This window comes from Homo sapiens, chromosome 10 (genome assembly GCF_000001405.40).
Source record: "Homo sapiens chromosome 10, GRCh38.p14 Primary Assembly".
Lineage (NCBI taxonomy): Eukaryota > Metazoa > Chordata > Mammalia > Primates > Hominidae > Homo > Homo sapiens.
In genome coordinates, this window is record NC_000010.11 from 42,782,258 (window position 1) to 42,804,964 (window position 22,707).

Here is a 22,707-nt window from a genome sequence, read left to right on the forward strand (position 1 = left end):
TCCTCCCTCCTCGGCTTCCCAAAGTGTAGGGATTACAGGCGTGAGCCACTGCGCCCTGCCAAAAGAGGGCTTTAGGGCACCCCAGAACGCGAGATCCCCCTCATCTGTAATCTTTAAAGAGGAGGAAGTGTACTCCAAATCAAGCGATAGTCCATTCGTCCTTGGCACGGTGACTGCCGGGAGGCCAGGACCAAATGTGTCTCCTTCCGGCTTTTGCACCACACTAACTAACCGGCGCCAGGCCGCAGAGCCGCCCTGGCCTTCGGCGAGAACTCAGGCGAGCGCGGCGCACGCTGCTCCGGAGTCCCACCGCGGAAGTTGAGGCCGCGGATTCCGAGGGCGGGGTGGAGAGGAATCTGGAAGGACCTGGACCCGGTGGAACGCACTGCGCGGACGGCGCCTGCGTCCGCACTCAGCTGTTCAGCCCTCTTTCTTCAGGCTCTCCCCTGAAAGCCGTCCCCATGCCGGTCTCTTTTTTCTGCCTTCTTGTTTCCCTCCGGCGAGTCAGCGCGACTGTGAATTTCCGTTTCCGGCGGTGTCCATGCTGACCTGAGGAGTCGCGGCTGCGAGCAGGTTCGGTGCTGCGGGTTGGGGTAGGCGGCGGTGGGGTCCCTGGTTCTGGGGCACTGGGAAGATCGCGAGTCGTGCGTGTGGGAAGGTCCTCCCCCGGTCCTCCGGGTCATCTTTGCTCCCGAGGAGCGGCATATTTCTCATCTGGCGGAGGTGTCCTGGGGTAGTTGGGTGAGTGACGTGATGAATCCCTGCAGAGAGCCCAGACGGGGAGGGAAGGTGGCTGGGCGACGTCGTTTCCTGGCGACGTGGTCCCGGTAGGAGACTTAGACCTGAGCTGGATCTGTTGACCCCAAATTGTGCTTTTCCCACCAAGAAGAAAGACAGGGAGAGAAACATTAGTACAAGTGCTGAACTAAAATATAGCAGAGAAGAAACATAATCTCTGAAATCACACAGCTATTCGGTTTCAAAGCGTTCCTAGCGCCCAGCTCTCCTAACTCCTGGCCAGTGTTCTTGACATTATGGTAATACATAAAGACTTTGTTTCCGCTGGTGTGTGTCTGTGGGAAGCCTCTGACTCACCTCCGTGCTCCAGTAGCACCCTGTGCAGCCTTCCAATGTCGCCCTTATTGCGTGGCGCGGAAGATAATAGTTTGGATTTCCTCTGCAAGTCAGATAATAGCTGTATCCACTTACTGGCACAGTGCCTAGCACATCGTAGACAGACACAAATATTTATTCAACGGAATGAATACAGTACCTTAATTGAATGAAATGGCATCCTGCTCCGCTTTTTTTTTTTAATCAAGCTGTCAGATTTTATGCAGCCCGATTTCCTAAAATAACTCACTAATTCAGTGATTGCCAATTTATTAGCCACAGATTCCCAGGTAACTCAGAAATCACTGGAAGGGTCTCTGTAAGTTCATGGGGTCTCCAGGTGTCATCTAGAACCAGTCCTATCTCACACGTACAGCTATTTCTATTTTTCAAATGTATGTAGATAAGTTGTAATTTAGGAGTTTTACAGAGTCAACAGGTACTAAAAGTAATACTGCGATCATATTGGAGGTTCATAAAAACGTTTCACATTTTTTTATTAAAATTTAAGTTTTAGTTTAAGTTAGGAAACCACTTCATCAGTCCAGTTGATACCTGGGTCTGAGCTGTCCAGTATGGTAGCCACATGTGACTATTTGGAGTTAGAATGAAATTAATTAAAAACTCATTTTTTCAGTTTCCCTAAGTATATTGTAAGTAACCACATGTGGCTAATGGCTAAATGGCTGAAAAGTACAGATATAGTATATTTCTATCCTTGCAGAAATAGATACTGCTGATGTTGACACTTAAGATGAATAAAAAGTAACTTAACCATAAAATGTAATCTTAAGAGAGGTAACTCATCTAATTTATAGCATAACAGAGAGAAATGAAATTGGGGATGGTTAAGCAGTTTCTACCCTTGTTCAGTGAACAAATACATCATCTCTTCATAAAGAAATAAATGAAATTTACTGTTTTTCCCTGGGTATTGCCTGGATTGTAAAATGCTTCTCCCATCTCCTTACCCCAACCTTCTTCCTTGTAGGTTAGAGTTACTTGTTATTGGTAAATAGCCACTATGGAGGCTAAGGACCAGAAGAAACACAGAAAGAAAAACAGTGGACCCAAAGCTGCAAAGAAAAAGAAGCGGCTTCTGCAGGATCTCCAGCTAGGAGACGAAGAAGATGCCCGGAAGAGAAATCCCAAAGCTTTTGCAGTTCAGTCTGCTGTGCGGATGGCTCGATCCTTTCACAGGTATGTTAGGCTACGGTCTGGTCATTCTTCCATTGATTCTTTTTTTAAATAGTAGGAGCCTCTCACAGGTGACATTTGGATTCACGAGTCTAGTCCAGCTCCAAAGGACATGGAGATTCATGGTGTGTGGCTTTCACTAAAACGTGAGAAGCTTTTCCCATAGAAGCTGCCTTGCCTCCAGCATCTGCATACTGGTTAGTGTTTATTGCCCAGGATACAAGAATTTATAGACTTTGTTTGTTCCTAAATTTTAAACTGTTTCTATGGTGATAAGTGTGCTTTTTCCCCCCAGGTATGTTTTACATAGTTGTAATATAAAATACAAAAATTACAATATTTAATACTAACATAGCTTTATTTAGTGAGCCCTTGTGATATGCCTAGCAGTGTACTTTAAACATTATTCAACTAAATCCTTCCAGCAGCCTTACCAGAGTAGGAATCATTCTTGCCCTCATTTTATGGGTAAGAAAACTGAGATCAAGAAAACAAGTTACCTCCAATCATATAACCAGTAAGTAGGAGAGCTAAATGTAACTCCAGCGCCTCTGCTCTTATCTGCTATGATGTACTGCCTCGCTATTTACCTTTTGGTTTTTTAAAAAACTATTAAAATCACTCTTAAAACAGTCAGATTTAAGGAGTGTTTAATTTTCGCTCTCTATAGTATTGAAGTCATCTTGTTACATCTTTATTGAACAGCAATTATTTGGATGGGGCCAGAAGTTAGCAAGTTAATAATTGACAAGTTAATTATATTTATATATTGTCTGTTGTACTCTCTATAAAATGTGCTAAAGTACTCATAGCTATAAGTGTACCAAAAAAGTCTACTTATAAGGTTGATACCTTTTACTCTATTTTGAAAATGAGTTTACTATTTATTTATTTGTTTATTTTTTAATGAATAGGACTCAGGATTTGAAGACAAAAAAGCATCATATTCCAGTGGTTGATCGAACTCCACTAGAGCCCCCACCAATAGTGGTAGTGGTGATGGGACCTCCAAAAGTTGGAAAGAGCACTTTGATACAATGCCTCATTCGGAACTTTACCCGGCAGAAGTTGACTGAGATCAGAGGCCCTGTGACGATTGTGTCAGGTAGGAGATGCCACCACAGACACAGAGTTGGCGTGGCTGTTGTCATCTGAGGGACATGCATGCGTTTGTTGTTTTCTTGAGTGGAACATGTTAAATATTGTCATATCATGGGACTTCTCTTATACTTAGTATTACTAAGTTGGCTATAGCTTCAGAAAAGGGTAAGTTCCCAGAGATAAGGATGTGATAATGTTCACATTTCCTCCCAGCACTCTGGGAGGTTCCAAGGCAGGAAGATACTCGAACCCAGCACTCGGGCTGGAAAATCAAGCTTTGCTGCTCGATTGCGACACCAGCCACAGTCCTCTTCCTCCGTGTAGAAGGATGTGTGGTCCAGCCTCTTAAGGTGATGCTTTCCTTTTCTTCCTGGTTTCCTCCTCCATTTTTTGTATGAGAAATGATAATGTTCACTATGTCTTATCCTGACTGCTCTTTGGCTTTGCCAAACATGTTCCTTGGAAGGGCCTAGCAGGCCTAGTCACCGTGAACACATCATTTAACAGATAGCACGCACCTCCTATGTGCCAGGTGCATATGCTTGCCTTATGAAGCCACATTCTGGTGGAAGTGCGAGTTTTCTCTTTTTCCTGTGAGAATTGTCTGCTTTGGGAGATGGTGACCTTTCCGAGTTTGAGGGAAAATGAAACAAACTTCCAGTGGTAGAATGGCAATGTACACTCTGAAATCTCTTGTTATTGCAATAATATAGTTGGATTGAGGCTTTTCTTTATCTTTGGAGCATCCATATTTTCTTTTCCCTTTTTTGAGACAGAGTCTTACTCTGTGGTACAGGCTGGAGTGCAGTGGTGTGATTACGGCTCACTGCAGCCTCTACCTCCCAGGTTCAAGCATTCCTCCTACCTTAGCCTCCTGAGTAGTGTATGCCACCACGCCTGGCTAATTTTTCTTTTTTTTCCTTTTTTTTTTTTTTCTGTAGAGATGGGGTTTCCCCATATGGCCCAGGCTGGTCTCAAAACTCCTGGGCTCAAGGGATCCGCCTGCCTTGGCCTCCCAAGTTGCTGGGACTACAGGCGAGAGCTACTGTGCCCAGCCCATATTTTCTTGACTGTTTTATTTTTACCTTAATTTAGAAGTAATTATTGTTATGAATATTCTGTTGCATTATGTTTGAGGATGTTTGTAGCTCTAGTGGGAATACGGGAAGTTTTGATAGAGGCAAAGACATTGGGCCTGCAGCTGAACAGCAGGATCATGGTTATCATGGAGTCTGTGCAGTCAGAATTTTCCCTTTTTGAGCACTTTTATTCATCTGGGTAGACTTTTGATGTTATTTAAATTTAGAACACAGCAAGAAAAACAGAATGGAATTTATTTTATTTTATCAGTTTTTGCCTGTAAAAATGAACTTCTTGTATGCTCCTGTAAATGTATATGATGTTTTACTGGATGCAGTTAAAAAATGAAAATTAAGAGTTGATGGTTAGAGTTTTTTCAGGGTCTTTTTAAAGTAAAATTTTCATCTTTTCACTTATAGGTAAAAAGCGCAGACTCACCATTATTGAATGTGGGTGTGACATTAACATGATGATTGATCTGGCTAAAGTAGCAGATCTGGTAAGTGAGCAGGGGCAGCCTGGGGTGCTGATGGAGACTTACAGCATTGTGATAGGTTATTTACCCCGTGATGAAGGGAAGAGAGTCTTATAATTATTAAAAGAATCATGGTCATCATCAGTGATACGGTAGATATGATTGAATTGATGATAATTATGGTAATAAATGTTGTTATGTTAATAATAAAAATGGAATGTGCACAATGAAATGTGTTCCAAAATCTAAAAGCAAATCACAGGATGGAGAAAACCTTTAATGAACACAACTAATAAGAGCTCATTAATATGTATACATATATACGTACAAATATATCATAGTAAGTACCATTTCTTCTTGGACTCTTCCTGGCACTGTGCTAACTGCTTTCTACAAATTTAGCTTACATAAACCCTTGATACACCCTTGAGGTGAGTAGGTATTATCTGTAGTTTACATAAGATGAAATAGAGCCTGCCAGCAGTTAAGTAACTTGTGTGAAGTTGGGACCCTTGTTCCTGATGGTTCCAGAACCTTCATCCTTAATGATAATGCTGAAGTAAGTACATGAATTGCCCTGAAGAAGTGGTCAGTTTATCAATAAAAAGTCTAGACAGTCCTCAGTGTATGGAAAATGTAAATGCTCTTGCATTTATGGAAATGATAGTGTTCACTATTCTGATAGTCTATTAACTATCTTTTAAATTAGCAAAAATAAAATACAAATTAGCAAAAAAATAAGCCATATTGATTAGGAAGTGTGGGGTGACAGACACCTTGATTTTTTCATTTTTATTTAGTTTTTTCTAGACACCTGTTTGGTGACAAAGAGCTACAGATTTTATACTTTGGCCCAGGAAGACTCCTAAAATATAAAGTAAAAAGTAATACAGATTTTAAAGTTGTGCCATTGTAATGTCAGAAAACTAAATAACATTCAAATTTTGAACATGTAATGTTAATATTAGTAAAAATAAGTGTTATTATTAACGTAGTGTAAGCTTACTAAATCTTGTATACTTGAAATGATTGAAATAGTTCATAGAAGTCATTTGTTTCTCTTTTATTTAAAATGTAGCAAGCTTCTAATTTTAAAGACATACATATTAAGAGATACCTTTACTTTTTTTTATTTTTAATTATTATGGATACATAATAGTTATACATATTTATGGGGTACATGTGGTATTTTGACAGAAGCATACAATGTGTGATGATCAAATCAGGGTAATTAGGATATCCATCACCTCAAACATTTATCATTTTTTTGTGTTAGGAACATTTCAATTTCATTCTTATAGTTATTCTGAATTATATAATAAATTATAGTCACCCTATTGTGCTGTTGAACACCAGAATTTATTCTAACTGTATTTTTGTACCTGTTAACCTTTCCCTCTTTGTCCCTCCCTCCCTGCTCCCCTTCCCAGCCTCTTAACCATCATTGAGAGAGATGCCCATTATGTAAATCTTTTAAAGATTTTTCAAAAGGAACACACACATTTGGTAAAGTACTCTAACTGTAATGCAGGGTGCACACAATGTGCATTTTCTTTTTCCTTAGTATAACCGCTGGTCTCTCAGATCCCTGCAGAGCAGTATCCTTTTAGATACATATAAACACACATGCCACCCTTTAAAAACAAATGGTAGCTTATTTTACACACTGTTCTATGCTTTGCTTTTTTCATATAATGTATTTTGGAGGTATATAATCAGTAAGTACTGCAGCTCTGTCTCCTTTTTAATATAATATTCCATTCTATGGAGGCACCATAATTTATTTAGCCTAGCTTATGTTGACTGCTCTGCTGTGGGTTGCCAAAGCCTCCTGTGTACAGCAAAGGCACACACAGTACGTGGATTTGGGTGTGTACAGGCGTGTGTAGATTAGGGGAATAACACTGGCTTAGATGACAAAGACTGGCAGCTGAGGGACTGTTTGCTCCCTGTTCTTCCTGACCCTACAATCAGCTGCTTGCCCCCTGGCACTCTGTGGCATCAAATGTAGTGTGAGGATATTCCGCCTGTCCTTTGAGCTGGTCCAGTGTTGCTGAAAAGCTGTGCTTGCTGCCTCAGTCCACAGTAGCAGCTGTGCTTTCTCACAAGCCCACCTTCATATATTCTGTGGTTTCGGATTTTGAATGTTTCCTAGTTTAATCAAAGATGGGCATTTCTGTTTCCATTTTTTTTGTTATTTTTAGTTATCTATGCAAAGATAAGAACAGAAATGTTTTTAATACTTAAACTAGAAATTTCCAGGAATCAATTCTGAAATTATTTTGCATCTTTGAAGCATCTTAAATTTTAAAAATTGGTCTCATCTGCTTATATTTTCTTATAGACTACCATTCATCGTAATCTTACTGTTTTTTTTTTTACCTAATTCTAAACTGGTAGCTATTTAAAAAAAATTTCTGAGCAATTGAGTTATCCAAATTAACATATAAGATAGAGGTTTCCACTGCATACTTCTCAACAAAAAACAGATTGTGGTTTTTTTTTCTATGAGGCGATTGAAAGAAGAGGTTGGTTTTCTGTACATATTTAATGTATTTCATTGATTATGACTCTCTTCCCATTCTTTGGATGCCAGAGACCTGTTATTTGGCTTAAAAATACCTTACAGAAAACTTGATTTCTTTAAATTAGGATTTCTTAGGTAAGGGCCAGGTTAGACCCAGCCTTTTCTGAGTTACTTCTCATACATTAAAATTCTTATAATGGAAGTTTATATCCTAGTGGACATTGTCTTATGGGTTGGCTTTTAGAGCAAGTCAGAGGGTGGTGGTTTCTCTGTCTGGGTGATGCCTGTGTAGTCATTTGATTTAGTCTGGAGTGCAACTTTTCCGTCCAGGGCCAGGTAGTAGATATTTTTGGCTTTGTGGATCATATCTTCTGCAGCTACTTAGCTCTGCAGTTGTAGTGCACAGGCAGCCATAGACAATATGTAAATGAATTAATGTGGCTATGTTCCAATAAAACTTTAGTTACAAACACAGGTGATGGGCTGGATTTTGCCCGTGGCCAGTTGCCAACCCTTAGTGTAGGTGGTCTGTTTTGGTAGTTTCTTTGAGAAATTATGTGTTCTGCTTTTAGGTACTGATGCTTATAGATGCCAGCTTTGGGTTTGAAATGGAAACGTTTGAGTTTCTAAACATCTGTCAAGTACATGGCTTTCCTAAAATTATGGGAGTTCTCACCCACCTCGACTCCTTCAAGCATAATAAGCAACTGAAGAAGACAAAGAAGCGATTAAAACACAGGTTCTGGACGGAAGTTTACCCGGTACGAAGAGAAATAATTGTTGGATACTAACAGTATAATCCTTTTAAAATAGACTGAAGAGGCCGGGTGCAGTGGCTAACACCTGTAATCCCAGCACTTTGCAAGGCAGAGGCGGTCGGATCACTTGAGCCTAGAGTTTTGAGCTCAGGGCAACATGACCAAACCCCATCTGTACTAAAAATGCAAAAATTAGTCCGGTGTGGTGGCGTGCGCCTGTAATCCCAGCTACTCAGGAGGCTGAGAAGTGAGAATTGCTTGAACCTAGGAGGCAGAGGGTGCAGTGAGCTGAGATCACGCCACTGCACTCCAGCCTGGGTGACACAGTGAGACGCTTGTCTCAAAAAAAAAAAATACTAAAGAGACATTACTAAACGTCTCTCTAGGATTCGCCTCCTGAATTTCCTTTGTGTGTGTATTCACAGTCCCTGGCCTCCTGAATTCCTTTGTGTGTGTGTTCACAGTCTATGGACTGCTGAATTCCTTTGTGTATGTGTTCAGCCTCTGGCCTGCTGAATTCTTTTGTGTGTGTGTTCACAGTCTCTGGCCTGCTGAATTCCTTTGTGTGTGTGTTCACAGTCTCTGGCCTGCTGAATTCCCTTTGTGTATGTGTTCAGTCTTTGGCCTGCTGAATTCCTTTGTGTGTGTGTTCAGTTTTCTGGAAGGTTTCCCTCAAAAGAGTGCTTGTTTGGGGCCTCTTGGTGTATCTCATTTGTCTCTCTCTGTACCTGCTGCACCAGGCAGTGTCTGGCTGTTTTGGGGTCAGGACTTAATAGAGTACCTCGGAAGTTTCTCCCAGTTACAGGACCAGGCACTGCCCCTTCCTTTCTATACTGCTCTGGACCATTGGCCACAGAACCGTTTCTGTGCTCAGACGCCTCACCTCCCTCTCCTCACCATACTTAGATGGATGCCCCGGCTCGGCTGCAGAGCAGTCTGCCTCTGTGGGGTTCTAATAAATCCTGAAAGAAGCCAGCAAGGCTCTGGAAGCCTCAGGACAGTGGCTTTGCTGGAAGTCTCCCTTCTTAGGATTGCTTCTTGTTTAGAGCTTTTATTTTGTTGCAGTATTGATGATAATTTAATTGAAATTTAATTTTTAATTTTCCTCTAATGTTTAGGGTGCCAAGCTGTTCTACCTTTCTGGAATGGTGCATGGAGAATATCAAAACCAAGAAATCCACAATCTGGGCCGTTTTATTACAGTTATGAAGTTTAGGCCTCTCACATGGCAAACTTCTCACCCTTATATCCTGGCAGACAGGTAAAATATGATTTTAAGCTTTTTCTTCCTGGGCCATATATTTCAAAGCTAAAAAGGCTAGAAAAAGAACAGTGATAGGATTTATTTTGTGCCGATTTGAATAGGGGGGATAGAAGTGTAGTTGATGGAAAATGTCTACTTATATCATTGCTCAAAGATGCCGTGCCTTTGGGAGTAAATTAATTATGAGATGTTAAGGAAAATGGGAGAACTTGGAAGTATTTAAGGCTACAGGATGTGGCCCCATCCTACGTTCAGCCTCAGTTTTCAGTGATGCTGCCTTCATGCCCGGGTGCTTGAGTCCTTCGTGTGTGCCTTCTGTTTCCTTCCTTTGTGCTCTTCCTCGTGTGGTTTTCTCAGCCTGGAATTCCCTTTTTCCACCTGCCAGAATCCAAGCCACAGTAAAAATCCCAGAGCACAGGCTCGCCCTCTTCCAGAAAGGGATTTTCTGAATATGTTCTTCACTCTTCCCCGACCCCAGGTGGACGTCATCTCCCTGTCTGGTGTCTTATGGAATGAATATCACTTTCAGCCTAGAGACACAGTTGTGTGTCTGCCCCTTTTCCTCTGGTGGATGGTGAATGGTGCCTCCTTATTTCTGCATTTTCTAGTTTTCTAAATGACGTGCTTAATGGACAAGAGTGTGATGAATCATTGACACATGAAAGGAGGTATAGGAACTTTTGGCATTCATTTCTGCTGTGATTGAATTTATTTTTCTAGGATGGAAGATTTGACAAACCCAGAGGATATCCGAACAAACATCAAATGTGACCGGAAGGTGTCACTTTATGGTTATTTAAGAGGAGCACACTTGAAAAATAAAAGCCAAATTCACATGCCAGGTATTCTCTTGTTGTAGAACATACTAGAATTACACATAGGATTCTTGGGATGGCTTCATTTCTCAGGAAAACTGAAAAATGACCAAACAAGGGAAGATGGCCTTGCTGGAGGTTTTAAAAGTAAGCCACCTATGTGTAGGCCTGCAAAGGTGTTACTGAATCCCCTCTTCTCTGACCTCTTGTCTTGTAGCTAGGGGGCCACTGTTCCAGTGTGGCACAATGCCCTTCTTTAGTGTTATGGGTTAAGCCCTTGGACTGTGGATCATATTTAACCCCCTAGTCAATGGTAGATGCTTCTGACTTCTTGTCAGCTGAAGCTGGCTTTTGGGTTCTGTCTTCCAGGGGTAGGAGATTTTGCCGTGAGTGACATCAGTTTCCTCCCAGACCCTTGCGCTCTTCCTGAACAACAAAAGAAGCGCTGTTTAAATGAGAAGGAGAAGCTGGTTTATGCGCCTCTTTCTGGAGTTGGGGGTGTGCTGTATGACAAAGACGCTGTCTATGTTGACCTTGGTGGCAGCCACGTTTTTCAGGTATCGGTGAGACGGGAGTCATTTCTCTGAACTTTCAGTATTCTTTCTGAATCTATTTTTTAATCACAAAAAGTAATGTACTCAGCTTTTATTTATTGAAGATTTTTCTCTTGTACTTATAATAAAGGCCCAAATGCATATTGTAAATATATAGGATAAAAATAATACTTTTTTTTTCATTGTACCAAGCAGAAGAGTCCTCTCCTTCATTCCTCCTTGATCCATGGCCCCAGCACAGGCATTGCTGCTGTGTGGCGCCTGCACGGCCCATCCCCGTTTCTACAAAATCAGTGTGCTTTCCAGCTTTCATTGGTCTTTTTCTCATTCACAATGGTCTCCTCATGCTGTATTTTAAAGTGGATTTCAAATATTTATTTCTTTGTTCTGAAGTGGAATTTTATTGGGTTAAAATCGGCTTATTTTAAAATATTAGAAAAGCTAGCATTGTTGTAGCTTTGGAGCTGAGGTTTTTCTAGCTAGGTTGTTTAGGTTATCAGGTTATATACTCCCTGAACTTTGGAAAAGTTTAATGGAGATGGGGATCCATTTCAAGCTTTGTTGTAAGGATTTTCTTCTCTGCTTTTTGAGGCATTAAGAAAGGTTCTTAGGAAATGTGTCTAAGATAATTTTGAGAAACTGAGTGAAGCTCGTGTCTCTCCAGGATCTTTGTGCTTTCCTCACGTGCCCTTTCTTGGTGGTCTTGACAGGATGAAGTGGGGCCCACCCATGAGCTGGTCCAGAGTCTCATCTCTACCCACTCCACCATTGATGCCAAGATGGCTTCAAGTCGAGTGACGCTGTTTTCTGATTCCAAGCCACTTGGGTCAGAGGATATAGATAATCAAGGGTAAGTCTGCTTTTTTTCTATTTTTAATAAAAAGATGTATTACAAAAGATCATATCACCCATAATTCAGCCATCATAACACATTTCGGTGGGATTCATTCTATGTTGTTTTGTTTTTCTTTGTGTGTGCATGTGTCTCTGAGGGCTCTTCACTTACCTGACATTACAAGGGAGTCTTTTCTTGAAATAAATTGCAGGATGCATTTTTCAACAGACCCCAAATATTCCTCAAATACCATGCCATCTTCCATAGGTTGCCTTTTGTTTTTTAAGAGACCTGAAGCCACTTGGCTTTCTTTTGGTGGCCAAAACACTAGAGCAAAGTCAGGGAGTTTGTGGCTGTCCAGAAGCCACATGCCTTGTCTCTGAAAGTTTTATTTAGATTGTGTTGTATTATCTCCTCTGGGTAGGTTTCCGTGGATGTATGGCTCATGTGAATTATTTTCCAGTCTGGGTTGGGGATTTGTATACCTTTATATGCAGTGGATGTTTGCAAAACATTGGTTTTGTTGTATTGATTTATGACTCCCAGTAAAATTTATCTGAAAATTTTGAGATTATCTAGTATGTAATTTGGTACAATGTGCATAAACTACCTAGCAGAATGCCTGACAGGTACGAAGTGTTCGCCGAAAGATCACTCCTTTATAATGGGATTACTAGCTATTTTCACTTTTGCATATCCTTCTAGTCATCTTTGTCTACAAGAATACTCTCCTCTAATATAGTTACAGTTAAAATACATAATTTTATTTCTATATTATCATTTCCTTCTTTTTTTTTTTATTATACTTTAAGTTTTAGGGTACATGTGCACAATGTGCAGGTTAGTTACATATGTATACATGTGCCATGCTGGTGCGCTGCACCCACTAACTTGTCATCTAGCATTAGGTATATCTCCCAATGCTATCCCTCCCCGCTCTGCCCACCCCACAACAGTCCCCAGAGTGTGATGTTCCCCTTCCTGTGTCCATGTGTTCTCATTGTTCAATTCCCACCTATGAGTGAGAATATGCGGTGTTTGGTTTTTTGTTCTTGTGATAGTTTACTGAGAATGATGATTTCCAATTTCATCCATGTCCCTACAAAGGACATGAACTCATCCTTTTTTATGGCTGCATAGTATTCCATGGTGTATATGTGCCACATTTTCTTAATCCAGTCTATCATTGTTGGACATTTGGGTTGGTTCCAAGTCTTTGCTATTGTGAATAGTGCGGCAATAAACATACGTTTGCATGTGTCTTTATAGCAGCATGATTTATAGTCCTTTGTCATTTCCTTCTTCTATACAGTCTTTATGTAGTCATCATTTTGTTATTATTGGTGTATTCTTTTTTTTTTGTGACAAGATCTTGCTTTGTCTCCCAGGCTGGAGTGCAGTGGTATGATCTTGGCTCACTTCAGCCTTGAACTCCCAGGCTCAAGTGGTCCTCCTGCTTCAGCCCCCCAAGTAGCTGGGACTACAGGAGTGCGCCACCACTCCTAGCTAATTTTTTTTTTTTTTTCTAGAGATTAGGTCTCACCATGTTGCCCAGGCTGGTCTCAAACTCCTGGGCTCAAGCAATCCTCCTGCCTTGGCCTCCCAAAGTTCTGGGATTACAGATGTGAGCCACTACCCCTGGCCTATTATTGCTGTATTCTAACTTACCCGTCTCTTATGGTATGATTTTCAGTTTTTTCAAATTTATGTTTTCTTAATTTTATATATCTTGCTACATTAAATAGCTTCATACAGTTTTCTTTTATCCTGTGATTTTAGCTTCCTGATGATTCTTCTGTATCAGTTATAGCACTGGTGACTTAAAATGGATGTTCTTCCTCTGTCATTCCTCCTACGTTTGTTAGCTGGCATTTTTAACAAAGAGCTTTCTCTTCTCCCCTTTATTTCGGTATCACTGCTGACTAATGCACTTGTGTTTTGTTCCATGGGTTATTTTCCATCACTATCATTATTCTTCCTGATGCCTATGCTGGCCCAGATTTGGCTGCAGGAGCCTTCAGCCTGTCTCCTGTGTCCTTTCAACTGTCTCTGTTAGTCTTTGAGCATTTCTCACTTTCTGACAGAACAAGAGGATCCAGGCTCATTTTGCCTTCTTTCTGCTTTGGGCCTGGACTTACCCATTTCTCTTAAGGATCATGTGTTTTTAGCTTAGAAATTAATCAGCTTTCCAAAAGATCTACAAAACAGTAACTTCTCTTTTGAGCAATTTTTTTCTAAAATTAGATTTTTGTTTTTTAAGGGTTATTCCTTTATTCTCTCTATAAGTTCTTTTGAAGTGTGGTGTTAGGGAACCATGCCCGAGTTTGCTTCTTAACTCTTCCAATGTTTATCAAATCATATTTTCCCTATGCTATGTCATCTTAAACAATTCCTTGACATTTTCTATTTCTTTGTATTTTCATTGACTATATTGCCATTTCTAGATTAGCTGATTAATGTACAAATTGAATTATTTTGTATTTCCTTGGTAATACAGGCTAATGATGCCAAAGGAGGAAAAACAAATGGACTTGAACACTGGTCGAATGCGTCGGAAAGCCATTTTCGGAGATGAAGATGAATCTGGAGATAGTGATGATGAAGAAGATGATGAAATGTCTGAAGATGACGGGTTGGAAAACGGCTCTAGTGATGAGGAAGCAGAAGAGGAGGAAAATGCTGAGATGACTGATCAGTATATGGCTGTTAAGGGCATCAAACGACGGAAACTTGAGTTGGAAGAAGACAGTGAAATGGATTTGCCAGCATTTGCTGACAGTGACGATGACCTTGAGAGGAGCTCAGCGGAAGAAGGGGAAGCGGAGGAAGCTGATGAAAGCAGTGAAGAAGAGGACTGCACTGCAGGAGAGAAGGGCATTTCAGGATCAAAGGCTGCTGGAGAAGGTAGTAAAGCAGGGCTGTCACCAGCTAATTGCCAGAGTGACCGTGTGAATCTGGAGAAGTCTTTGCTGATGAAGAAAGCAGCTCTCCCCACTTTCGATTCTGGGCATTGCACAGCTGAAGAGGTGTTTGCATCTGAAGATGAATCTGAAGAAAGCTCCTCACTCAGTGCAGAGGAAGAAGACTCAGAAAATGAAGAGGCTATTAGAAAAAAGCTTTCAAAGCCTTCTCAAGTGAGCAGTGGTCAGAAACTGGGGCCACAGAACTTCATTGATGAGACCAGTGATATAGAAAATTTACTCAAAGAGGAAGAAGATTACAAGGAAGAAAATAATGATTCCAAAGAAACGTCAGGTAAGCTTAAATGTAGTTGGTTGCTGCTATGAACTTGGCTCTCGAAATGGTAACCAAAGGAATGTCTACATTTAGGGGTCTGTTGATTCTGTGATTTTGTTAACTGTTGAAAAGCTGCATTGTGGATGGATCTCAAGGGAGGGGAGACACATGAATAAGCCTAACTGGAGGTTGGCATTGGTCGTTTCAGGTGCCCTCAAGTGGAAGGAAGACCTTTCCAGAAAGGCAGCTGAGGCCTTTCTGAGGCAGCAGCAAGCAGCTCCAAACCTCCGAAAGCTTATTTATGGGACAGGTAAAGAATTCTGGTTCAGAACTAGAAATGTTTTAGTTTCTCTGATTATTTAGATGAGGGAATTGGTTGGAGGATTCGGCTGGTATTGTTGACATCCATAATTGCTGTCCATCACATTTCATATTTGACAGATGTCTCTAATCATCAGCTTATGAGGACCACACATTGGTCTTATAAAGTAGACTTATGGGTTTGCTGTAAAACTTGATGCAAATACCGTCCATTGCATCATGTTATGTCCCCTATTTAAAAGTCCTTCATGAGAATTTTTTTGTAGATTAGTGCCAGAAAAATATTCCTGCCCATAAAAATATTTATTTTTTTCCTTTCTGAGAATGAGAACCCTGTATAACACATTTTGTTCTCCCTTTTGCCCTTGTCCTCTGATTTTATGCTTTACTAAACTTACCAATATGTTCTTTCTGGTAGAATTAATGCAAAAATAAATATATAGTGGTGAACTTTACATTGTGCTCCCTGGTTACTGCATGGTGAGATCAAGGCCACATGGTGAGACATTTGGGCTCAGCCCACTGAATTGGGAAGGTTGTTGTATACTGATTTTCATTCAGGTTTTGTCTAGGTACTCTTAGTGATGAGAGGCTCAACACTCTTTAGAGCTCTTCTTTAATAATCTAAAGCTCTGCCTTTAAATTCCCTTCCCTCCCTTCACCGCTAATATTCTCACTCCTCGGCCTCTTAGCTGCTCCCGTGCAGGAGCACAGGAGCCCCACACATGTAGAGCAATAGCTTCCTGGCTCTCTTCATCTGTGGCTGCCCTGCCCTCTCAATGCCTAACTCTTATGTGGCCATTGCCATACCCACCACAGACAGAGTCCCTCAGTTCCTGAGTTCAAAGACTCATGGCCTAACTGGTTGAAAATGATGAGTCCTCTAGGGCTGTAATTTTTGTTCTCACTTTTCTGCCATGGTGTGCTCTTTAGTGACAGAAGATAATGAAGAAGAAGATGATGATACTCTAGAAGAGCTTGGAGGGTTGTTTCGTGTCAACCAGCCTGACAGAGAGTGTAAGCACAAGGCTGACTCTTTGGACTGCTCCAGATTTCTTGTGGAGGCCCCCCATGACTGGGATTTAGAGGAGGTAAGTCTGGGTAGTACATTTGATTTATTAGAGAATTAGCGAATTGTTCTAGAATAAGATTATCTGATGTCAATATTGCTTACCTGTTGTTGGCTTCTTATTTTTACAGGATTACAGGTCATTCTCCCAGATATTGTAGTGGGCGCTTCATGCATCCTAAGCAGTAACATGTTCTGAGTTTAGTTAGACCATGTACATGGCCCACAGAGGACAGGTTCAGCTTTCAGTGTGGACAGTAGTGTGCATCTTTATTTTGAAACATCACACATAAGTTTTTATACATCAGATGTATTTTGTGTCTTATCACTAGGATATATGTAGCATCCCTGAGTTAACATTTATAGTTTCTGCTATTTGTAAGCATAGAGAAATCTGTGATACCTGTATATGTTCTTCCTGCAGCTTACCATTTTGTAGTCACACTGGAATTCATTCAGTACTCAAACTCACCACAGCTTACCCTCCTCTTAGACCTCTTCTCTTTCTCTCTCTCTCTCTTTAAGATATGGTCTTTCTCTGCAGCCCAGGCTGGAGTGTAGTGGCACAAGTGTATGGCTCAATGCAGCCACGACCTCCTGGGCTCAAGGGATCCTCCCACCTCAGCCTCCAGAGTAGCTGGGACTATAGGCACGAGCCACCAGGCCTGGCTAATTTTTGCATTTTTTGTAGAGATAATGTTTCACCATGTTGAGCTAGTTTCGAACTCTGGGTTCGAATGATCTTCCTGCCTTGGAACTTCCCAGAGTGCTGGGATTACAGGAGTGAGCCATCGCGCCAGCCCCTTTCTCTCTATTCTCTTCTGGAATGTTCTGATTTTCCAAAGGCTGCTTTCTTTTTGTCAATTCAGTTTGGCTTAGATGTCACTTCTCACAGAGGCCCAATTGCTATCATACTGTCTATTGTAATTCGCCAGATAACACTTAATGTACTTTATGAGATTTTATTTAACCATTTTTTTATGGTGAAATTTAATACAGATATATAAAACCACGTAAAAACAATTGTTCAGCCTAATGGGTTGCCAGAAGGTGAATATCCCTGTACTCAGCACTCAGGCTGGGAAATCAAGCTTTGCTGCTCAATTGTGACACCAGCCACAGTCCCCTTCCTCCCTGTAGAAGGAGGTGTAGTCCAGCCTCTTAAGGTGATGCTTTCCTTTTCTTCCTGGTTTCCTCCTCCATGCTTCCATAAGCATCATAGTTTACTTTTACTTGGTCTTCATTACTGTTTTTCAGTCTATCTTTTAACATTTTTAGTCAACAGTCTTTCCTTCCCATTTCTTTCTTTGGTTACATTTTATTTAATAAACCAAGTCTTTGGTCTGTAGAGTTTCTTGTATTCTGGATTTTGTGGATTGCTTTGCATCCCTCTGGAGTTTCCCAGGCCCTCCTGTATTTCCTGTGAATGGGTATGGAGCAATACCAATAGAACTTCTGTAATGAAAGGAATGTATATCTGAGCTGTGGGTTGTGGCTACTTGTGGCTACTGAGCTCTTTAAATGTGGCTAATGAGACTGGAGAACTAAATTTTAAATGTTATTTAATCTTAATTAAGATTAATTTAAATAGTCACATATTTCTAGTTACCCTGTAGACAAAACATCTAGCAGTTGGATGGGATTTAAATTTGATTTTTATTTTTCGGCGAAACTGCTTCCCAGGTGATGGTGTTTTCTCATTAGGAGGCGCATAAAGACTGGTTGTGTCCTTTTAATGCTGTTAGATGTTATCAGTTGTTGGTGCTCAATGCCTAGAACCATACCAATTTCTTAAGAATGTAGAGTGGTGATGTTCCATTCAATCATTTCTCTTTATGTATTAGCTGTAACACTTCTTTAAAGAGAAACTTTTCCTCTTCTATTCGGTTATCCACTGCCATATATATAGGGTAAATGCTTGATTTTTTTTTTTTTTTTTTTGAGATGGAGTTTCGCTCTGTCGCCCAGGCTGGAGTGCAGTGGCACAATCTCAGCTCACTGCAAGCTCTGCCTCCCGGGTTCATGCCATTCTCCTGCCTCAGCCTCCCGAGTAGCTGGTATTACAGGCGCCCACCACTAGGCCCAGCTAATTTTTTTGCATTTTTAGTAGAGATGGGGTTTCACCACGTTGGTCAGGCTGGTCTCGAACTCCTGACCTCCTGAGCCACGTGCCTCGGCCTCCCAAAGTGCTGGGATTACAGGTGTGAGCCACTGCACCCAGCCCATGCTTGATTTTTTAATCAGTTTGTGGAGTGATTCTCCAAAGGATACTTGTTTGTAAGTTTCACTGTGATGTCATGGATATAAATGTAGTTGATGTGCCTTGTGCTCCTGCACCTGTTATCCCTTATTGAAGCTCCTCTTTATCCCACCTGTGGCCTGTAAGAGTCTGTGCACACCAGCTCCTGAGTCCTTATGTTACAATCATAGTCATTCTTTATCAATTCTTGCTCTATGATATGAGAGAGCGCTTGGAATCACCCATAAGAAATCCTGATTTCTTTTAGTAGGAAATGGTATTTCAACGTGACAGCCTAGGCATAGGAATGCTACTGCCATGAGTTGGTCATTACTTCTAGGCCTTCTCAGTGACCTGAACCAGGAGAGCTCATATAGATATTTCCAGTTCACATACAGGACTACATCTTACTCATTCTTCCACTGGAGAATTATTCCTTGGTTGAATCAGCAGATGATGAAATTAGAGAATCACATAATTACTCATTTGCTTTATCCCATATTACACACAAAATAGTGTCAGAATAATATGACTACTGAAAACAGTTAAAGATTTTTTTCCCTTATATACTGTCTCATTTCTCTTTTCAAAAGTGACTGTGCCATTTTACTTACCCACTGGCACTGTAGGTGGGTTCCAGTTTCACCAGTTCTTCACCAGCACTTGCTATTATCTGTCTTTGTGATTATAGCCATCCTAGAGGGGGTGAAGTTGTATCTCATTGTAGCATTGACTTGCATTCCCTGATAGATAATGATGTTGAACATCTTTTCATGTGCTTATTGGCTATTTGTACATATTCTTCATATTGTTTGCCCATTTCAAAAATTGGATTACTTAGTTGTATGCGTTGTTTATATATTCTGGATATAAGTCCCTTATCAGGTACATAATTTGCAGATATCTTCTCCCATGTTATAGGAATTCAGTTTTCAAACAGGTTTAGATTAACAAATAGCAAGACCAACTTTGTAAACTACTGTCTCATTGCATTGCCTTAGAAACCTTAATAAAATTGAAAATCAGTTGAATTAGTAATTATCTGTTTGTTTACTTATGAGGTCAGTAGAGTAGTAGTATTTAATACTTTCCCTGTCTGCTGCTTAATGTGTTTTATCTCTGTGGTTATACTGTCTCCATCAAAGGTAAAGTTATTTTCTGGGCTCATTTGGAATGAGAATATCCATGAAAGTGGGAAATATTTAAAGGCAAGTTGTCACCTACTGCCATTTCTTAGAGTTGTTTTGCTGAGTGATTGGAACACCTCACCTAAGTGCTGACTTTTCTGCGTAAGGTTATGAACAGTATCAGAGATTGCTTCGTGACTGGAAAGTGGGAAGATGATAAAGATGCAGCCAAGGTCTTAGCAGAAGATGGTAAGTAAAGAGCTGGGTTCTTCAGGAAGACTGGCTTCTCTAAACTTTATTTTCTTCAGTATCTTAGACAATAGTCAAATTGAAAATAATAGTCACTTGTCAAATGCTTTGGGAATTCAGACAGGAGTAATGAACCAGGTAATATTCTGGGTTTTCCTTTTATGATGATCTTATTTTCTCAGTTGGCTGATTTACTGCGTATGGACTTTAAAAGTGAGAAACTTTCCATAAATTTTAATCATGTGTTTGTTAAAAATAGATTTTGTGTGATGTGAAAAATATATACAAATAACATTTATATTTTTTTCATAATAAAGGTAGTATGCATTGTGGAAAATTTCGAATGAAAAGTACATAACATACCAGAATTCTACCAACCCATAAAAAAACCTTTGTTAGCTTCTTCAACTGTTTCCTTCTAGTCATTTAAAAATTGTGTGTTTAAACCTTTTTAGTTGTACTTTATATAATTTTTGGCAGGAGGATTGCTTAAGTGATGTACTTTTTATAAATTTTGTCATTAAATTTTTTCAAATATTTCATTTTTATTATTTAAAATTAAAAAATATTTTATTTAAAATAAATAAAATATTATTTATTATTATCATACCATTATTGAAGTCACAATTTTTTCAATATCTAAGTAGTTTTATACTTTGTTCATTTTATAAAGAACTCCACACTGAACAACTTTGAAATAATTCTTGGCTCACACTTTTTTATTTTCATAAGACAGATTCATAAGTGTTAGAATTGAGTCATTTTTATGGATTGCAACTGCCACATGGTTTTTTGGAAGGTCATTCTTTTTGTTTTGTCTTGAGACAGGATGTCGCTCTGTTACCCAGACTGGAGTGCTATGGTGTGGTCATGGCCCACTGCAGCCTCAACCTCGCAGACTGAAGCCTCCCGAGTAGCTAGGACCACAGGCTTGCATCACTACACCCAGCTAATTTTAAAATTTTTTTGTACAGACAGTCTTTTTATGTTTCCCAGGCTGGTCTCAAACTCCTAGGCTTAAGAGATACTCCTGCCTCAGCCTCCTGAGTAGCTTGAACCACAAATGTATACCACCATGCCTGGCTAATTTTTAAATATTTTGTACAGATGGGGGTCTTGCCATGTTGCCTAGCTGGCCTTGAATTCCTGGGCTTAAGCAATCTTCCCGCCTTAGCCTTCCAAAGTGCTGGGATTACAGGCATGAGCCACTGTGCCTAGTCTGTAGTATGTGAATGTATTCTTTATATATATATAATTTTTTTTTCTGGGCCTTCTAGTTAATATCACTGATCTCTGTTGGTTCATTTATTATTACTATAATTTAGTACTCTATGCAGCTTTATCACGTTACTAAGATACCAGTTATTAAAACCGTGTCTCAACAGTTTCCCTTTTTGTTCTGCTGGGGGGCTTCTTTTAGGATTCTCCTGACTATTCTCACCTTCTCACTTGCTTATTGTTTTTTCCATAGGAACTTAAGAATCGGCTTTTCTGTTTTCAAAAGAAAGTGTGGTGGGTTTCTTTTTTAATCACTTCAGTGAGGTATAATTGATGGTAAACTACAGTATTTAAAGTATACAATTTGATAAGCTTTGATATGTGAATATACCATCACCACAATCAAAATAATGAACACATTTGTCACCCCCACAGTTTTCTTACACCACTTTGTAACTCTCCATCTTGTCCTCTTCCATCACCAGGTACATTCAGCTGCCTTGTGTCACTATTCAGTAGGTTGTGCCCTTTAGAATTTAATTGAAATGGGATCCTACAATATGTACTCTTTTCTGTCTAACTTCTTTTACTCAGCATGATTATTTCAAGATTCATCCATGCTGTTGCATCTTCATTTCTTTTTGTTGGCTAGTGGGTAGTCCATTGTATGATGTATAGCAATTTATTTATCTGTTAACCTGTTGATAAACAATTATTTCCAGGTTTTGGCTATTATGAGTAAAGCTGCTATGAATGTTTTTTAGAAGTCTTTATGTGAACCACCGCTTTTATTTCTTTTGGGTAAATAAGTAGTTCAGAATGGACTAAATGGGTCATATGATAGGTACACATTTAATTTTTTAAGAAATTACCCAACTGTTTTCCAAAGTGTTTATACCATTTTCCATTGCCACCATAACTTTATGCAACTTCCGGTTGCTTCACTCTACATCTTTCCCAGTACCTGATAGTATCAGTCTTTTTAAATTGTAGGCCTTCTTTTAGGCATAGAGTGGTATCTTGTAGTTTTAGTGACTAATGGTATCGAACATTTTTTCATGTGCTTATTTGCCGTCTGTGTCTTCTTTGATGAAATATCTGTCCAAATCTTTTGTACATTATTTTAATTTTGTTGAATTCTAAGAAATTTTGTGTATTTTTGATACAAATTCTGTATCACATGTGTTATCCAATTATTTTTGCCTAGCGTGTGCCTTGTCTTTTCTATTTTTAATAGTGTTTTTCACAGAGCAAAGTATTTAGTTCTGGTGTAGGTCAATTTATCAAAAAAAAATTTTTTTTTTTTTGGGATGGAGTCTTGCTCTGTCTCCCAGAGTGCGATGTGATCTCGGCTCACTGCAACCCCTGCCCCCTGGGTTCAAGCCATTCTCCTGCCTCAGCCTCCTGAGTAACTGGGATTACAGGCGCCCGCCACCACGCCTGCCTAATTTTTGTGTTTTTAGTAGAGATGGGGTTTCGCCATGTTGGTCAGGCTGGTCTTGAACTCCTGACCTCAGGTGATCCATCC

At 40.1% G+C, this 22,707-nt stretch overlaps 1 protein-coding gene across 8 annotated transcripts in view, besides 1 other annotated feature; it reads left to right on the forward strand.

Moving 5' to 3' along the window:
• Positions 369–718: an enhancer, noted in NCBI's record as "active region_3281". NCBI's record gives its function as "activates an Ori minimal core promoter by ATAC-STARR-seq in GM12878 lymphoblastoid cells {active_cell/tissue: GM12878}" and the evidence as "EXISTENCE:reporter gene assay evidence [ECO:0000049][PMID:35858748]".
• BMS1 (BMS1 ribosome biogenesis factor) overlaps positions 538–22,707 on the forward strand; it is a 52,143-nt gene continuing 29,973 nt past the window's right edge. For 6 of the 8 annotated variants that reach the window (XR_007062019.1, XM_005271846.4, XM_047426040.1 and 3 more), the window contains exons 1-13: positions 538–741; positions 2,105–2,313; positions 3,225–3,415; positions 4,911–4,990; positions 8,066–8,254; positions 9,370–9,512; positions 10,236–10,357; positions 10,700–10,887; positions 11,595–11,734; positions 14,217–14,974; positions 15,165–15,266; positions 16,211–16,368; positions 19,880–19,961. Coding sequence is in view for 7 of the 8 variants with exons in the window: in XM_005271846.4 (XP_005271903.1) it covers positions 2,138–2,313; positions 3,225–3,415; positions 4,911–4,990; positions 8,066–8,254; positions 9,370–9,512; positions 10,236–10,357; positions 10,700–10,887; positions 11,595–11,734; positions 14,217–14,974; positions 15,165–15,266; positions 16,211–16,368; positions 19,880–19,961 (2,329 nt within the window). In the remaining variant the exon portion in view is untranslated. The remainder of the gene's footprint in view (positions 742–2,104; positions 2,314–3,224; positions 3,416–4,910; positions 4,991–8,065; positions 8,255–9,369; positions 9,513–10,235; positions 10,358–10,699; positions 10,888–11,594; positions 11,735–14,216; positions 14,975–15,164; positions 15,267–16,210; positions 16,369–19,879; positions 19,962–22,707) is intronic. The other 2 variants (XM_011540402.3, NM_014753.4) reach the window with 2 other exon arrangements.